Consider the following 18,286-nt stretch of genomic DNA (forward strand, 5'->3'; position numbering starts at 1 on the left):
GTCGCCCAGGCTAGAGTGCAGTGGCTCAATCATGGCTCACTGCAGCCTCAACCTCCTGGGCTAAAGAGATCCTCTTACCTCAGCCTCCTGAGTAGCTGGGAGTACAGGTGTGTGCCACCACACCTGGCTACTTTTTAAATTTTGTTGTAGAGCTAGGGTCTCGCTATGTTACCCAGACTAGTCTCAAACTCCTGGCCTCGAGCAATCCTCCCACCTCAGCCTCCCAAAGTCCTGGGATTACAGGTGTGAGCCACTGCACCCAGCCTCTCTTGAGTCTTAATAGTGAGGAAAAAAATATAATGCTTAAAGGAATAAATTATGGTGTATTCATAAAACTGAATATTATACAACCACTACAATTGGAAGAAACATTTGACAAAAATGTATGTAAGTTTTTATAGTATAATCCAATTTTATAAAGAAATTATGCATATTTAAATACATACATGTGTATTTGTGCACAGAAAAGGGACTGAAATACATACCAAGGTGTTCACAGTGGTTAATTCTGATTAGCGCATGAGTGAGTTTTTATTCCCTTCTGCCTATGAATCTTCTCTAATTTTTTTAATAAACATTGCTTTTGTAAGAAAAAAAAACTTCCAAGTTCTGTCTCAAGTAATGACATCAGAAATATATGTGAGTTCAGTTACTTTTCCAGGGGTGGTGATAGATATAAACTATATTATTATAATCTAGGCTGCACTACAACCAATAACATATTCCTACAGAAATGTAAACTCCATGAAGACAGCAGTTTGTCTATTTTGTTAAATAAGGTAACTCTGGTGCCCGATATCTTACACTTAGTTGATACTTAATAAATATTTGTTAAATAAATGAAAAGGCTGATCAGGATTATGCACTATAAAGCAGCTCTCATTTTAAATGCGCAAATACAAGAAACCATGATTTTGGCCTCATATACTACTAAATTCCAGTTAATTCAGTGGTTCTAACTGGCCCATGGAGAGAATTCAGGGGTTCCAGGAAAGCAGATTTTTTAAAAGTGCATGTTCATTTTTTATGTTATCCTCCAAATGAACTTTAGCCTTTCCTTACCATATGAAAAACAGCACAGTAGCTTAGCAATACCTAAGACTTTGTAAGCAATAGAAATCAAAGATTATTTCATATATCACTGTTGCAGATACCTTGAAATATTTTTCATTAGTAGTCATCATGCTCATTAGCTATCAGATTTTTATTGAATTCATTAAAAGAGGCATATATATTTCTATAACAAATGTTGAGGAAACTAAATCCAAAGCCAACAGTGGGAAAAGCAAAGAAGTCTATTGAAGAACTCTCAACAGGCTCACATATATGTCTGGCAGTGAGGCTGAGGTTGGGGCTAAAAATACTAGAATTCTTGAAAGTCTGTTTAAAAATTAGTTAAATCCTCAGATCACCTCCCCATTACTGCACAGCCTGACCTTGCCCTTTTTCCTACAATGGCAAAAAAATGTATTTCTCTGGGGAGAGCAAAACGTAGGGTTTTTGGACTGGGGTATACCACAGATAGCTGAGAACCAAAGCACAATGCTGAAAATATGGGGATTTGTGAACGTTTATACAGTGAAAACGGAGGAATTCAAAGAAACATTTCTATCCCATTTTCCAGAATGAAAGGATATCAACTTCCAGACTGAAAAGGCTTATCCACTTGTCCAGCATAAATGACAAAAATAGACACATGGCAATGCAAATCATCAAAAAGTTTCAGAAACAGGAGTTTAAAGAGATTCTACAGACTTAGATAAACTTCATAGAAAGGATTAGGATGAAAATGCATCAAACTTCTTAACAAAACTAAAAGAAAGCAACAGTCCAATGCCATCAAATTCTGAAGATAAATTATTTCTAACCCAGAATTCTGTACTCGGGATTCAGATTATGAATTAAGTGTGAAAGCAGAATTAGAGATGTTTTCAGACATACAAGTTATCAAAAGATTTACCTCCCATATACACTTTATCAGGAAGGTACTGGAATCTGTGCTCTATAAAACACGAGAATACACCAAGGGAAAGAAAACATGACATCTGGGTAACAGAAGATCTAACCCAACAGCAAGAGAAAGAAAATCTTAAGGATAACGGTCGTAAGATACTAAGGTGACCACTAATGCCATCACACTTGTATATGAGAAGTCCAGACTAGACTATCCCAGGCAAATCTGCTGTAGGGCAGTAAATGTAATTAAGTATTCACATATAGACATACTAATGCAACTGGAGGAAAGCTTTGGTCTTCATTAGTGTTAAGAGTATAAAAACTAGGTAAAGAAATAAAAAGACATTTATTAATTCCAATGAAAACAAAATGCTTTAGAGAAAAAAGATAGGTACATAATTATAGAATGTAAATACTGAATACTTATTTAACAAAAATTATAATAGAATTATGTTGGAAGGATGAGAGGATAAGACACAGGGAAGGAAGTATAAGTGAGCTAAATCCTTATCTTTGATACAAGGAATCAGCAATAAACAGTCAAAAGTGGGTAAGTTTTTTAAAAAATACAAACAAACATGCCAGGGGAAAATGTTTTCTCATTCTGTAGGAAGCCCAACTAGTCTGATTCCCGGTCTCTCCACTGATTATTCTGTATTTAATAAACTGGATATTTTCAGCTCATATGTATACTTCTTCCCCTTGTGAATAAACTGCATACAGGGAGCAAGCAATCTTTATTTCTCTATTTGGGGCCACTCTGCTGGTCAGCCTAGTCAATGACTAGTCAGTTAGCCAAACTCCAGAGTCAGGTTAACAATCCCATTTAGCATTGTTTGTAAGCAACCTTCTCCACCTTAGATTTTCTGAGTGCTAAAGCTGACATCTTGCTCCTTCATCACTATTTCTTCGTCATACTTATCAATTTGATAACATCCTGAGCAGTGAATAGGAGGCCCCATGAGACCTCAACAGTTAGTACACAAGCTAGAAAAACGGAGAAATAAAAGAAGAGAATCTACATATCAACAGAAGGAATAAGTGTGGTTTTTGGTGAAGTCTTAGACATCAATGTGCATGGACAAGTTGGTAGAACCTCAGGTTAAGACACGTAAATCACAGCGCCGCAGGCTGGGAAAATAATTTAAACTGACTACATGGTGTTTTGACATTGAAAAGTAGCTTTGGTGGCTTTATCTATAAAGAAATGACTTTTCATACAGGCCACGTGGATAACCACACAAAGATGAGAACCATGTGGATGGCATATGCAGAAATTACCAGCATGTGAGGTAAAGTCAGATGTGGGGAACAGTGCCTCACAGGAGAAGCTATTATGATTTACTACTACTGAGTAAAACCATCATTTAATCTCACTGCAGAAACTGATATTCTGTTTTAGACATCACTGGATATAACCGGCAAGACCAGACCCAAATCAGTGCCTATCTGCACTACTCACCATTACGCCATCCACAAATGTCCTAAGTTCCAGACTATCCAAGCACTGTAAAGTCAATCATTATAACTGATATATTTACAATTTGGCTGACAGTCTTTAAATTTCTCAATGTTGTATTCATCTATGACCCACAGAAAAACATTCAGAGGGCATCAACCAAATCTTACAAAATCATCACCATTAGGATGCCTTAAATCTAGCACAATTAGTACTCTATCTAAAAACCATAGAAATAGAATACAATTCTTTTTTGTTGTTGTTTTGTTTTTTGAGACGGAGTTTCGCTCTTTCGCCCAGGCTGGAGTGCAGTGGTGTGATCTCGGCTCACTGCAAACTCCACCTTCTGGTTTCAAGCGATTCTCCTGCCTCAGCCTCCCGAGTAGCTGGGACTACAGGCACCCGCCATGACTCCCAGCTAATTTTTGTATTTTTAGTAGACACGGAGTTTCACTATGTTGGCCAGGCTGGTCTCGAACTCCTGACCTCATGATCCGCCCGCCTCAGCCTCCCAAAGTGCTGGGATTACAGGCGTGAGCCACTGCGCCTGGACGAATATAATTCTTCTAAATAAAAAATTATCTGTCCAGGAAGACAGTGCTAGAGACACTGGAGCTCTACTCTGTCAAAAGGGAGAAATCCTGTGAAGTGCCCTGGCATCCAGCTGAGACACCAAAAAGATGGTACCTTGGGAGCAAGAACTATGCCCTAGAATAAGGCCTATTCTAGATGATCCAAGTTAGAGGGATTTGGGAAACACCTTGGGCTTTCCACATAATAAAGCATAAAACTGAACACAAACAAGACAAGGATGATCATTCAGTAACTGTAATGCTTGCTTTAAAAGAAAAGATTTCTGGTTTTCAGTCTGGCATGTAAGGAGTTTAGAAGTTGCCAATCTGTTCTAAAAAATAAAAAGCTGATCACACTGAAAAATTAACAATTCTTTTTAGATCCATCAGAGAAATGAAGACACAGACCAAACCACTGCCACAAAACTGCAGAGACAGACAGATGCAGAGAAGCACAACTCACCAGAAGAGAAACTACTACCAGAAACCTCAGCGGGAACCAGGGCTAGAGTAGGAAAACCTGAACTCTGCATTTGACAAAATACTGGAGGCACAGCGTGGATAAGTCTGATAATTAAAAATTCCAGGGGGACCAGGTTATAAGACAACACTCATGCTTTTGTGAGTTTTATCTACAGGAGCTCTACCAGGTCTTCACGGAGAATACTGGAGAGAAATCACCTCATGCATACAGCAATGAGAGGAGAAAAGTAACCATTTTGAAATATGCCAGAGCATTCTATTATTTTTAACAAGGCCTGTCCTCAGGAGGAACTGTTTTACCAGAGCCTAACCTGTGGGAGTTTTGTCAGAGCCTAACCTTCCTAGGGGAAGGGAAATATTGAACTCCAGCCAGTTCTAGCCTTCCATGTAAGGAAAGGGATATACCAAACTCCAGCCCTCTCTAGCCATCCCAGCCCACCTAAGGGTAAGGGGAAAAAAAGAAGCACTGGTAAAGGTAGCCCAGTGGCACAGACTTGCCAAAATATTAAAACCTAATCCTAAAACTATAGATCATTCCTCCTCTCCCCACACCTAACCACTACATTACTAAAGGCCCATTTATGAAAGTTGCATTTCCCAGTATAGGTTGCGTATCCCTTATCCAAAATGTTTGGGACCAGAAGCGTTTTAATTGTTGGATTTTTTTCAGATTTTTGAATATTTGCATTACATTTATCAGTTGAGCATGCTTAATCTGAAAATCCAAAATCCAAAATGTTCTAATGCATAATTCCTTTGAGTATCCTGTCAGCACTCAAAAAGTTTCCAATCTTGGAACATACTGGATTTTGGAACTTTGAATTAGGGACATTCAACCTGTGCATCGTGTCCACCTTTCAATGAAAAATTAAAAGGCATACCAACAAGGAAAAGACAATTTCAGGAGACTGAAAAAAGCATCAGAACCACAGTCAGATACAGCAGGAATGTTGGAATTACCAGGCCGGAAATTTTTTAAAACTACAATTAATATGTTAAGAGCTTTAATGGGAAAAGTAGGCAACACGCAAGCACCAATAGGCACTATAAAAAGATACATTAGTAGATGGGACATGGTTAAGGAAAAAGTCTGAGTTTGAGAATATAATAGAAAGTTCCAAAACTGAAAATCAGGAGAAAAAAGACTGAAAAAAAATGAACAGAATATCTAAGAACCACAGAACAACTACAAAAGGTATAACATAAGTGAAAAGTGAATACCAAGAAAAGAGAGAGAGACAGGAACAGAGAAACATTTGAAGCACTCCTGACTAATAATTTACCCAAATTAAGATCAGATACCAAACTACAGACCCAAGAAGTTCAGAGAATACCATGAAGGAAAACTGCAAACAAACAAACAAAGAAAAAACTACACCTAGGCATATCATTTTCAAACTGCAAAAAATCAAAGGTTAAAAAAAAAAAGAAAAAAAAAAGTAAGAAATCTAGAAAGAAGCCACAGGATAAAAACACCTTACCTACAGAGGGGCAAAAATAAAAATTATATCTAACTTTTCCTTAGAAACCACGCAATCAAGAAGAAAGTAGAGTGAAATATTTAAAGTTTCGAGTGAAAAAAAACCAACAACCTAGTATTCTATAGCCTGTGAAATTATCTTTCAAAAGTGAAGGAGAAATAAAGACTTTGTCTAACAAAAAATGAGGGAATTTGTTGCCACTAGACCTGCCTTGCAAGAAACGATAAAAGAAGTTTTTCAGAAACAAGGAAAATGACACAGGTCAAAAACTTGGATCAATACAAAGAAAGAATGCATCAGAGAAAGAATAATGAAGGTAAAATAAAAACATTTATTTTCCTTATTCTTAATTAAGCTAGCAGATAACAATTTCTTCAAAATAATAATGATGTATTTCATCATATACACACACATATATATGCTTATATATGTGAAGTAAATAGTATCAATAATATAAGGGATGAAAAACTTTATTTATTTATTTATTTATTTATTTATTTATTTATTTATTTATTTTTGAGACAATCTCACACTGCCCCTAGTCTGGAGCGCAGTGGCATGATCTTGGCTCACTGCAACCTCCGCCTCCCAGGTTCAAGCAATTCTTGTGCCTCCTGAATAGCTGGAATTACAGCCGTGCGCCACCACACCTGGCTAATTTTTGTATTTTTAGTAGAGACGGGGTTTTGCCATGTTGGCCAGGCTGGTCTCGAACTCCTGACCTCAGGTAAGCCACCTGCCTCAGCCTCCCAAAGTGCTGGAATTTCAGACATAAGCCACCGCACCCAGCCAGAAAACTTTAAAATATTTTGTTATTATAAGATATTTTCACTACCTGTGATGCAGTACAAAGTTATTTGAAAGTGGAGTTGGTTATAAATGTATATTGTGAATTCCAGGATAACCACTTTAAAAAGTAAAAGAAAAAAAACCAACTATGATTGACTGCTAAGAAAGAGAGAAAACTGAATCATTAAAATGCTCAATTACAACCACAAAAGGCAGAAAAAGTATGGAAGACAAAAATATTAGCAAAGAACTAGGGCAGCAAATAGTAAACATTAACGGATATGGTAGATATTAATCCAACTACAGAAATAATCTCTTTAAACATCAGTGGTCTAAAAACACCAACTAAAAGACAGATTGTCAAAATGGATCAAAAAACAAGACCCAACTCTATGTTGTCTACAAGAAATCTACTTTAAATAGACAGAAATATATAAATTAAAAGTAAATGGATGAAGAAAGATATGCCATATTAATACTAATCAAAAGAAAGCAGAAGTAGCTACATTAATTTCAGACAGAGCAGGCTTCAAAGCAAAGAATGTTATCAGTGATAAAGGGGGACATGACTTAATGATAAAGGAGTCAACACTCCAAAAAAACCTAGAAATCTTTAAGACATATGTACCTAACAAGAGAGCATCAGAATATGTGAAGTAAAAAATGACAGAACTAGAAGGAGAAATAGATGAATTCATTATTATAGCTGAAGACTCTTAGCACATGATCCAGCAATCATGTACCTTGGTTTGTACCCAAAAAAGCTGAAAAAATTATGCCCATGCAAAAACCTACACACAGAAGTTTATAGTAGTTTTATTTATAATTACCAGAACTTGGACATGCCCAAAATGTCCTTCAGTATTTGAATGGATAAACTGTGGTACATAACAGGCAATAGGATATTATTCATTGCTAAAAATAAATGAGCTATGAAAAGACATGGAAGAAACTTAACTGCATACTACTAAGTGAAGGAATCCAATCTAAAGGGGTTACATACTATATGATTCCAACTGGAATCATAAACATTCCAGAAGAGTTTACAAAGACAATAAAAACATCAGGGGTTGCCAGGAGTTAGAGGGGAGGAGCGAATAAATAGGCAGAATACAGAGGATTTTTAGAGCAGTGAAAATACTCTATACTGTATCTATAATGGTAGATACATGTCATTATATATTTGTCTAAACTCATAGAATGTACAATACCAAGAGTGAACCCTAACATAAATTATGGGCTTTGGAAATAAAGATATATCAATGAAGATTTATTGATTATAATAAATGTGTCACTCTGGTGAGGGATACTGATAATGGGAGGGGCTATGCATGTGAGGAATAGGAGTATGTAGGAAATATGCAAAATTTCTCAATTCTGAAATGAACCCAAAACTCCTCTTTTAAAGGCTTTTAAAAGTCAAAAGAGCATTCACAAAAATCAGGCAGCAAACAAAATTTCAAAATTTCAATGAATTCAAAAGTGATCTGAACAGTGAATAAAACTGTAAATTAAGAGAGTTGTAAATTGAGAGAAAAAGTACTTAAAAGCAATCCTTCAGAAATGTTTAAGAAGAATTACAATTATTAACTAAAAACTGGGAACAGCTATAATAACTTCAGACAGAGCAGACTTCAGAAGAAGAAAAGTTATCAGGGATAAAGAGGGACATACATAATAACAAAAGGGGACAATACTCCAGGAAGACATAATAATCCTTAATATGTATTCATCTCACAAAAGAGTGTCAGAATATGTGAAGCAAAAACTGTTAGAACTACAAGGAAAAATGAATAACTTCACTATTAGAGACCTTAATATCCTTCTATCTGAAATGGAAAGATCCAGCAGGCAGAAAATTAGTAAAGGCATAGTTCAACTCAATAAAACCATTAATTGACTGGATATAATGGACATCTAGAGACCACTTCATCCAGTAGTAGAATACACATTCTTCTCTAACGCACATGGAATATTCACCAAAACAAACCACATTCCAGGCCATAAAACACACATTCACAAATTTAAAAGAATAAAAATTATACAATGTCTGCTCTCATACTGCAATAGAAATAAAATAAAAATCGATTACAGGAAAATGACGAAAATACTCCCAAAAAACTTAGAGATTTAAATAACACGTTTTTTTTTTAAATTATACTTTAAGTTCTAGGGTACACGTGTACAACGTGCAGGTTTGTTACATAGGTATACATGAATGACACGTTTCTTAATAACACATGGGTAAAAGAAGAAACTTCAGAAGAAATTTGAACATATTTTGAACTAAATGAAAATAAAAATAAAACATCAAAATTTATGAGATCCAGCAAAAGCAGTGTTTAAAGGCAAATTTATACTTTTGGATGCTGTTGTAAATGAAATCGTTTGGATTCTATTTCTTTTGGGGTGTGTAGAAATACAACTGATTTTTCTGTATTTTGATTTTGCATCCTGCCACTCTGCTGAAATCACTTATTAGTTCAAATGGGTTTTTTGTGGTTTCTCTGGGGTTTTCTATTCATAAAATAATGTCATCTTCGAATACAAATAGTTTTACTTCTTCCTTTCCAATTTGGAAGCATTTTATTTCTTTTTCTTGCCAAATTGCTCCTTAGAACTTTCAGCACAATGTAAAACAGGATTGCCAAAAGCAGGCATTCTTGTCTTATTCTTGATCTTAAGGAAAAAGTTTTCCACCTTTTATCACTGAATATGTCAGCTGTGGGTTTGTCACATATGGTCTTTATTATGATGAGGAAGCATCACTCTATTCCTAGTTTGATAGGTTTTTGTTTTGCTTTGCTTTTTCAAGAAAGGCTGCTTATTTCACCAAATGCTTTTGCACACCAATTAAGATGACTGGTTTTTTTTTCCTTTCATTCTCTTAATGTGGTATATTACATTGATTGATATTTGTATGTTGAGCCACCCTTGTACTCCTTGGATAAATCATAGTAGGTTACGGTGTAGAATCCTTTTAATCTGGTGCTGAATTCAGTTTGCTAGCATTTTGAAGATTTTTACATACTCGTTAAAGATACTTGTCTGTAGCTGTTGTTTGTTTTGTAGTTTCATTTTTGTAGGGTCTTGGGCTGGCTAATGCTAGCCCCACAGAATAAGTTAAGAAGTGTTGCCTCCTCTTCAATTTTTTTGAAAGAGTTTGAGAAGGACTGGTGTTAATTCTTCTTTAAATATTTGAAAACATTCACCATCAAAGCTATGGTCCTTAGTCTTTCTTCATTGGAAATTTTTTTAACTGATTCAATCTCCTTATTTATTATAAATATATTCCAATTTTCTACCTTTTTCTTTTTTTGTTAAGAGATGGGGTCTTGCTATATTGCCCTAGCTGGAGTGCAGTGAATATAGCTTCAGCCTCCTGGGCTCAAGCAATCCTCCTGCCTCAGGCTCATGAGTAGCTGGAACTCAGAATTTCTACTTCTTGGGTCAGTTTTTCTGGTTTCTGTATTTCTAGAAATTTTTCCATTTCTTCTAGCCTATCCAATTTGTTGGTATGCAGTTATTCATGGTTTTCTCATACAATCCTTTTTAATTTCTATAAAGTCAGTAGTAATGTCTACTCTTTCATTTATGATTTAATAATTTGAGTCTTTTTTCTTAGTCAATCTAGTTAAAGGTTTGTCAGAGTTTTTTAAAATCTTTTCGAAGAACCTAGTTTGGTTTTCAATAATTTTTTTCCATAGCTTTTCTGTCCTCTATCATGTTTATCTCTGGTCTGGTTATTATTTCCTTCCCTCCACGAACTTTGGGTTTAGCCTGCTCTTCTTTCTCAAGGTGTACGCTTTGATTACTGCTTTCAGATCTTCTTTTTTAATGTAAGATTGTACAGCTATAAACTGCCCTCTGAGCACTGCTTTTGCTACATCCCTTGAGTTTTGGAACGCTGTGTTTTCATTCTCACTCATCTCAAGATATTTTCTAATTTCCCTTGTAATTTCTTCTATAAGCCATTGGTTGTACAAGACTCTGTTATTTAATTTCTACATATCTGTGTATTTTCCAATTTTCCTTCTATTATTGATTTCCAGATTCATTCCATTATGGTTAGGGAAGACACACTGTATGATTTCAATCTTTTTTAAATGTATAAAACTTGTTTTGTGATCAAACATATGGTCTATCTGTGAGACTGTTCCATGTGCACTTGAGAAGAATGTGTATTCTTTTGTTGTTGAGTGTACTGTACATATCTGCTAGGTGCAGTGGGTTCATGGTACTGTTCATCCTCTGCTTCTTTGTTAATCTTCTTCCTAGTTGTGCTATTCATTATTGAAAGTGAATTACTTAAGTCTCAAATGATTAATGTACAACTGTCTATTCCTCTCTCCAAGTCTTTCAATTTTTGCTATATATATTTTAAGGATTCTGTTGTTAGGTACATATGTGGTTATAATTGCTACATCTTCCTGAAAGATTAATATTTTATATTTATCAATATATAATAATTCTGTCTCTTGGATCCCTTTTGGACTTAAAACCTGGTTTTTTTGGATAATAAAACAGCTATTATAGCTCTCTTCTGGTGTGGAATATCTTTTTCCATCCTTTCAACCTCTATGTAGTTACTTTCATCAGTTTTCTTTATTCTTCATATGGCTTTCAATTACCATCTAGCATCTTATTTCAGCCTGGAGGACTCCCGTTAGCATTTCTTGTAGGGCAGATCTATTAGTAACAAACTCCTTTAGCTTTTGCTTATCTGGAAATATCTTAATGTCCCCTTGAGTGCCCCTATTCTTTAACAGTTTTGACAAATACAGAATTCTTGCTTGACTTTTTTTTCTTTCGACACTTTAAATATTGTTAGCCCACAGCTTTCTGGCTTCCATAGTTTCTGATGATAAAACAGTTGTAAATCTTATTGAGGAGTGCTTGTATGTGATGAGTCACTTATCTTTTGCTGCTTTGAAGATTCTGTCTTTGACTTCTGACAATTATACTATAATGTGTCTCAGTGTATATCTCTTTGACATTATCCTCCCTGAATTTATTGAGTTTCTTGGACGTATAGATGCGTATCTTCCACCAAATTTCGGAAGTTTGGGCCATTATTTCTGCAAATATTCTTCCTGCCCCTTTTATTTCTCCTTTCCTTCTGGAATTAGCAAAATGTGAATGTTTTTCTGCTTGATGGATGTCCCACCCATCTCTTAGGCTCTACTTACTTTTCTTCACTCTTTTTTCTTTCTCTTTCTTAGACTCAATAAATTCAATTGTCCTATCTTCTTTCTTCCACCTGCTCACTTCGGCTCTTGAATCCCTCTGGTAAATGTTTTATTTCAGTTATTGTACTTCTTAGCTCCAGAATTTCTATTTGGTTCTTTCCATAATTTCTAGCTCTTCATTGACATTCTCAATTTGTTCATACATTATTTTCCTAATTTCCTTCATTTCTTTGGCCATGGTTTCCTTTATGTCTTTGAGCATATTTCAGATAATGGATTTAAAATCTTTAGTAAAATCTTTAGTAAATCCAATGTCCAGGCTTCCTCAAGAATGGGTTCTATTTATTCTTTTTTGTTTTAATGGGTAATACTTTTTTCTTTGCATGCCTTGTAATTTATTGTTGAAAACTAAATATTAAAATATTAGATTATAATGTGGTAACTTGGGAAATTAGATTCTCCCCACTTCCCTACGCTTCACTATTTTTGATTAATCAAGGCTTAGCTTGTGTTCAGCCAGTGTTTTGAAAGAGATTTCCTTGGATGCCAAAGCTTAAAAACAAAACTAAAACAAAAAACAAAAGCACTTATTCAAGTCTTTGCAGACTGGCTCTGTGCTGGGATATTTCTTTAAGACTTAGCCATACCATTCACAACTCTGCCTTGGCCTTTACTTCCTGCTTGTACTGGACCTAGCAAGCACACAGTGATAAAGTTTACAGTCTTCTTAGGTCGTTCCTGAACAAGTGTCCTGCCCTGGGCATGCATGCGGCTTTCAAAATTCCCTTCTATACACTGAGGCTGATTGTCCTAATTTCAAAACAAAAACAAAAATAAAAACAAACTCTCTCCCAGGCTCTTTCTCCTAGGTCAATTGTATGTCTCACCATAATCTATTGCCCAAAGAAGCTTGCTCAAAAGCAAGTTTCTTTCATTTGCCTTATACTGTGTTCAATCAATGCCCACTAATTTTCCTCCCTGACTGGGTTCTAAATTAGGTAAAACAGATATATAAGCACCTGCATCAGCCCTTCAAATAGCTCTCAGGTAGGTTGATCAGACAAATGAATAATTTGCAAATAAGGTCTGCTCTGTTCCCTCTGGAACCAGGGATCTGGGTCCCACACTGGGAACTCGGACTGCTATCTTCAAGACTGTTGCCAAGCTGGGGAATGGGTGAGGCACAGGCAAGTAAAAAACCCACAAAGCATTCTTTCCACCTTTCAGTTGCATTTTTCTTGTCTAGCATTCCTTTGGTTGCTATAAACCTTTGACGTTTCCAGAGTTCTGACAAAGTTGGATCTGATAGTTTAGGCTTGTTTTTCAATGTTTTTTTGGAGAGGCAGGCTTTTGGAGCTGCCTGCTCCAACATTTTGCTGATAGTACTCTAAGTAGTTATTTTTAAAGACCTAAAAATTGATAGCATAGCCAGATCAAAATTTACTAATGTAACATTTATTATTTTTGTACCATTTTATCTGAAAAAAGCCTACAGTGACTTATTTACAGAAATTTCTACTGAGCTCCATGAGCTGGAGTGTTAAACTGCTAAAACTGCATATAATTGAGTCACATAATATAGTAACAATGCATACAATTTCTTAGATATATTTTAATACTTTGACTACTATTATCGTTTGTTTACTGGCAAGTGCTAGATGATAACAAAATATTAGGAAAATTGAAACAGCCCTTTATTCTTAAATAGATTTTTCCTCTAGATACATGATTGTAGTTTTAAAAGATATATACAATAGGAACACATTCCACTGGTAAAATTATTTTGAGTGACTATTATGAAAATAAAAATATAAATATTTCAGGGTGGTATTTCACAAAGAGGATAGTATTCAACCAAAACCAGCCTGATTTTTTTAGGTGCTTCACCATGCTTAAGAAATATTGTTAAGCAGAATCCAATAGTTAAAACATTAGAGTCTACATCTATTAGAGCTCCAAATTGAAATGCTATAAGCAACTGTTTTTGTAAACAAACTGACAGAATTCAAAAGGCACACATATTTGGTATCCGCTAAAGTCAATCAAAATTATAGCAGTTATAAAGAAAATATATTCTAAAGAAATTATCAATAAAATTTACATATATCATTCTAAAACATTTCTCAATTTTTACTGACAGAAGAGGGAAAAAACAGAACCCTGCAACAACTTAATCTGTAGAATCAACAATTCAGTCAATTGCTAAATTAATGAGTTCAAGAAAAAATAACAGTCCCAGGCAAATCATCAATTATGGCTAGTTCCCTCTTAGGCTTTCGTAACTCTATTATACATTTTAACATAGCACTGTCAGTTTACTAAAACCATAATATAAATCCATATTCGGATTTATGAAATATCACTAGGTCATAAAATTAATTTAGTGAGTGGGTCAAGGCCAACATTTAACATAATAGTATAGAACAGAATAGATAATATCCATGTGCATTGCACATAAGGATGTGTATTGTTTCATAAAACTTAATTTCTATTTTATGTATATATGAAAGCCATTCTCTTTCTACTATACCCATAACACTATTCCATCAGAGGAAAGAGTCTATTATGAAATCAGACATACCCAGCTATAGCGGTCTTAAGTACAGAAAAATATTCTCTACACTGCAATGAGATCCTATGTAATTACTTAAGAAGAAAACTACCTAAGGGGAAAAAAATTTGTTTTGCTACTTTTATCAGAATATTACCTCACGTGTAACTAATTCATAATTCAGAAACCATAAATATCCGAAGGAAACATCTAAGTAACAGGCTCCAAAATACCTCACATTCTAGAGAAGATTTACATAATTACTCTCAAAGTTGTAAATATAAGATAAATTCATAATACTTGATTAGCATATTAAATGTTGCTCCTTCTCTACTTCAACCATGACTACGATCTTATTCTTTTTCACAAAAATTACTAGGTATACCCTAAGAAGTCTGCTAAACTACTACCTATTTGTGTTATATCAGAATTAAATATGAAATAGATTTAATCCAGTTCTTAATACATACACCTTTTTAAAATGTTTCATTGTGAAAAATAAATTGCTGAGAAATTTCCATCAAAGTAAATAAAATCATGCTATATACACAAAATATATATTTCTTCATAAAAGATTAATTTAATATGTTTAAGAACTTCATGAAATGCTTTGCTAGTAAATAATCCTGTACATAGCAGAAATGAATCAAGAAAAATATTAAAACAAATAAGACTTTTTGCACAATATGCCTTTGCAAACAAAATAGGCTCCCTTATAAGTTGGTAACATTCTTAATATATAAGTTGTACTGACACACCCAGTACTCACTATTTAGGATAGAGTCTTCCCAAATTTCTTTTCATACCAAGCTTTCAGTTAATTCATACATAAGGTTTAAATTTAAGGATATTCATCTGTTGAATAAATAATCCACTCCGAGCCAAGAAACCTTAAATGCCATTTCCAAAGGAAGTATAATAAACAGAAGGTATGCATAATACTATTTTTAACCCAGTTATTGTACCAAATAGAGGTAATTAGGCCTTTGTTCTAACTTTTATAATCTTCAATTTGGACGTCCATTTATCCCTTAAACATTCAGATATTTAAGCATGTATGTCATCTAGTATAATAAAAGGGGAATTAAAATGTTAATTTTTAAAACCTCATGCTGACCAAAACTACGCAGTTGCCCAAAGCAAAATGTGGTAAAAAATTTAAGTAACAAAAGCATAAATTTATAAAATGGCTGGTCACAGAAGTTCAGGCTCTCACTATAAAACAAAGCAGTTAATTTACTGATTATAACCATGGCACTCTAGTTAACTAATCTAAACAAATATTCATTAATAGGTAAAAAAGATGATTCACTTGAGTCTCTGGGAACTATTTTTAACGTAACCATTTAAAATGTTGTTGCTAGAAAACATTTTTAATTAATTCAAGTAAAATCACTTTATAAATGCTAAAATTTACCTGCTTGAGTCCTTCATCAGTGAGTTTGTCCTGGTTGCCTACATGCACTTTCTGAAGTAAAGGACAGTGAGAGGCAACCGCAATAATAGAGGTGTCAGAAAGCTGTTTACACCTGTAGGCTGTATACCTAAGAAGTCCAGGACATTTAAATGCTAAAACACATACGCCATTATCAGACATACTGCGACAATCAGAAATGTTGATTTCAATTATATTCTGACTTCTTGATGCAATTTTTTCCAACAATTCATCAGTGACCTGTAAGAGAAAAAGCAATAAATTTAAACTTTTGCTAAAAATAAAAACGTATTTTCCATTTTTTAATTAAATGTTCCACAATAAACAATATACTAATTAGATTATAGCATGAACGATATAATCAAAAGAGAAACCGTCTTAACATTGAAGCATAACAAGAATTTGGTATAATAATAATATTGTAATTGGTCTTTGTCCTGAATTCTTGCCACATATTTCCCAAAACTCTTGGAATTTCCTAAGCAATAGAATTTCTTTAGTTATTCATAACAAGCCCTTTAGACCATATCTGAGTTCATACTAATGAAGTGACTTAGAGTGGGGCGCCTAGATGGCTTCAGAATGGGGGCTGGTTACCAGAAAAACTAAACCCTTGATTAGAGGGTGATAACTTTCAACACTACTTACAGGAGAGGAAGGAAGCTGGAGATTGGGTTATAAAAACTCAAATGACAGAGATTCAGATGGTAAACAACATCAAAGTGCTGAGAAGGTGGTATATCCCATACCTTGCCTTCTGCATCTCTTCCAGTGGGCTGGCCCTGAGCTATATCTTTTATAATAAACCCATAAATATAGTAAGTATTTTCCAGAGTTCAGTGAATAGTTGTGGCTAATTATCAAAACTGAGAAAGAAATTAAGGGAACTCACAAGTTTATAATTGGTCAGTGAGAAGTTCAGGTGGCTTCTGGGACTTGCAACTGATATCTGAAGTGTGGGTAGTCTTGTGGGACTGAGCCCTTAAACTCAGTGATACCTCTGGGAGTTAGTTGAACTGAATTGTTGTACATCCAGTTAGTGTTAGAAAATTGTTAGTGTGGAAAAACTCCACATATTTGATGTCAGAAGTGGTATCAGAAAACACCAACAAAGGATATGTGTTCGTCTCATTAAAAGCCTAAAAATCTATCCTTAGTGGGAAAATTCAAATTCAGCAAAAACTCACCACAAATAAAACTATACTGAGATTTTCAATGTTTCACTTTCCATTTGTAACCCATGAAATAGTATACATCAGTAATAATGTTATATGAAAATTCACTTTTACACTTGATATCAGATGATACCACAGCGTGTAAGTTTTTAATCTTTTACTGTTTCTATGAGAAACAATACCTCGCATATAATTCATAGGTTGGAAAATACACCATTTTGCATATCAGAACACCAAAGACTATATAGGAACGTCCACATCAAAAAGTTTTTCTCAGACGACTCAATTCATCTGGTGAAAAACTCAGATGGCCATCTGAATTTTTGTTTTAAAACCAGCCTCTACATATTCTGTGCCCAATCACCACATTTCCAAAATACAAAACAAAGTTAATGTTATTCAAGTCCTTTCAGTAAAAATAATGGAGACAGAAAATGCAAATGAAATTTAGAATAGAAGGAAAGAACTACACTGTTAAGCAGCACTTGGAGTAACAGCCAAAGATAAAACTATCTTCGTTTATGCTTGTTGGAAACAGCATAAACACAGTTCTCGGAAAAGTTATAACTCTGACATACCTCTCCTTTTATTTTTTACTTTTTCATCTCCACACCTTACTACCAGTAGCGGGCTGGGTGGGGAGGGGGTTTGGGTGGGGGAGGAAGCTATTATTAGCCTGAGTTCATAATAAATAACTCAAACATTCAAGAGTAATGATGTAACAAGCTGATAGATTGCTTTACACATATCTGCTCTCCATTCTACTGCCCACAACTAACTCCCTCACCATTCTCCTTGGATATAAAGGTCATGAACCCAAGCAAGTAAATAACAAATTATCTTAATAGTTTTAACCTCTTACCAATGAAGGAGAAAAACAGAAAGGGAACAACTTATACACAAATCCTCGTGAGCTTGCTTAACTTGGTTAAAGTGTGTGTTATATACACACAAACACATACACTACCAGTGTGCTGGAGTTGGCTTGTAGCACCTCACAAGAGTTTATAGTGTGCCCCTCTTTTCAAATCTGCATTCAATGGCATAACGTGTAGCTTGACACTGGTCATGGTGGGAGTATTTATGTAATAGAAATTGGCAAATATTACAAATCAGGGCTTTTTTTTAAAGACAGTTGCTAAACATTTATCAGCACACTAGTAGTAATACACCATGGCAGAATTTAGAACAGGTTT

General features: G+C 34.7%; 1 protein-coding gene across 13 annotated transcripts in view; it reads right to left on the reverse strand.

Moving 5' to 3' along the window:
* Positions 1-18,286, reverse strand: part of FBXL17 (F-box and leucine rich repeat protein 17) — a 523,064-nt gene that overhangs the window by 489,806 nt on the left and 14,972 nt on the right. For all 13 annotated transcript variants that reach the window (XR_427717.4, XR_007058627.1, NM_001163315.3 and 10 more), the window contains exon 3: positions 15,898-16,155. Coding sequence is in view for 11 of the 13 variants with exons in the window: in NM_001163315.3 (NP_001156787.2) it covers positions 15,898-16,155 (258 nt within the window). In the remaining 2 variants the exon portion in view is untranslated. The remainder of the gene's footprint in view (positions 1-15,897; positions 16,156-18,286) is intronic.

Source organism: Homo sapiens, chromosome 5, assembly GCF_000001405.40.
Source record: "Homo sapiens chromosome 5, GRCh38.p14 Primary Assembly".
NCBI lineage: Eukaryota > Metazoa > Chordata > Mammalia > Primates > Hominidae > Homo > Homo sapiens.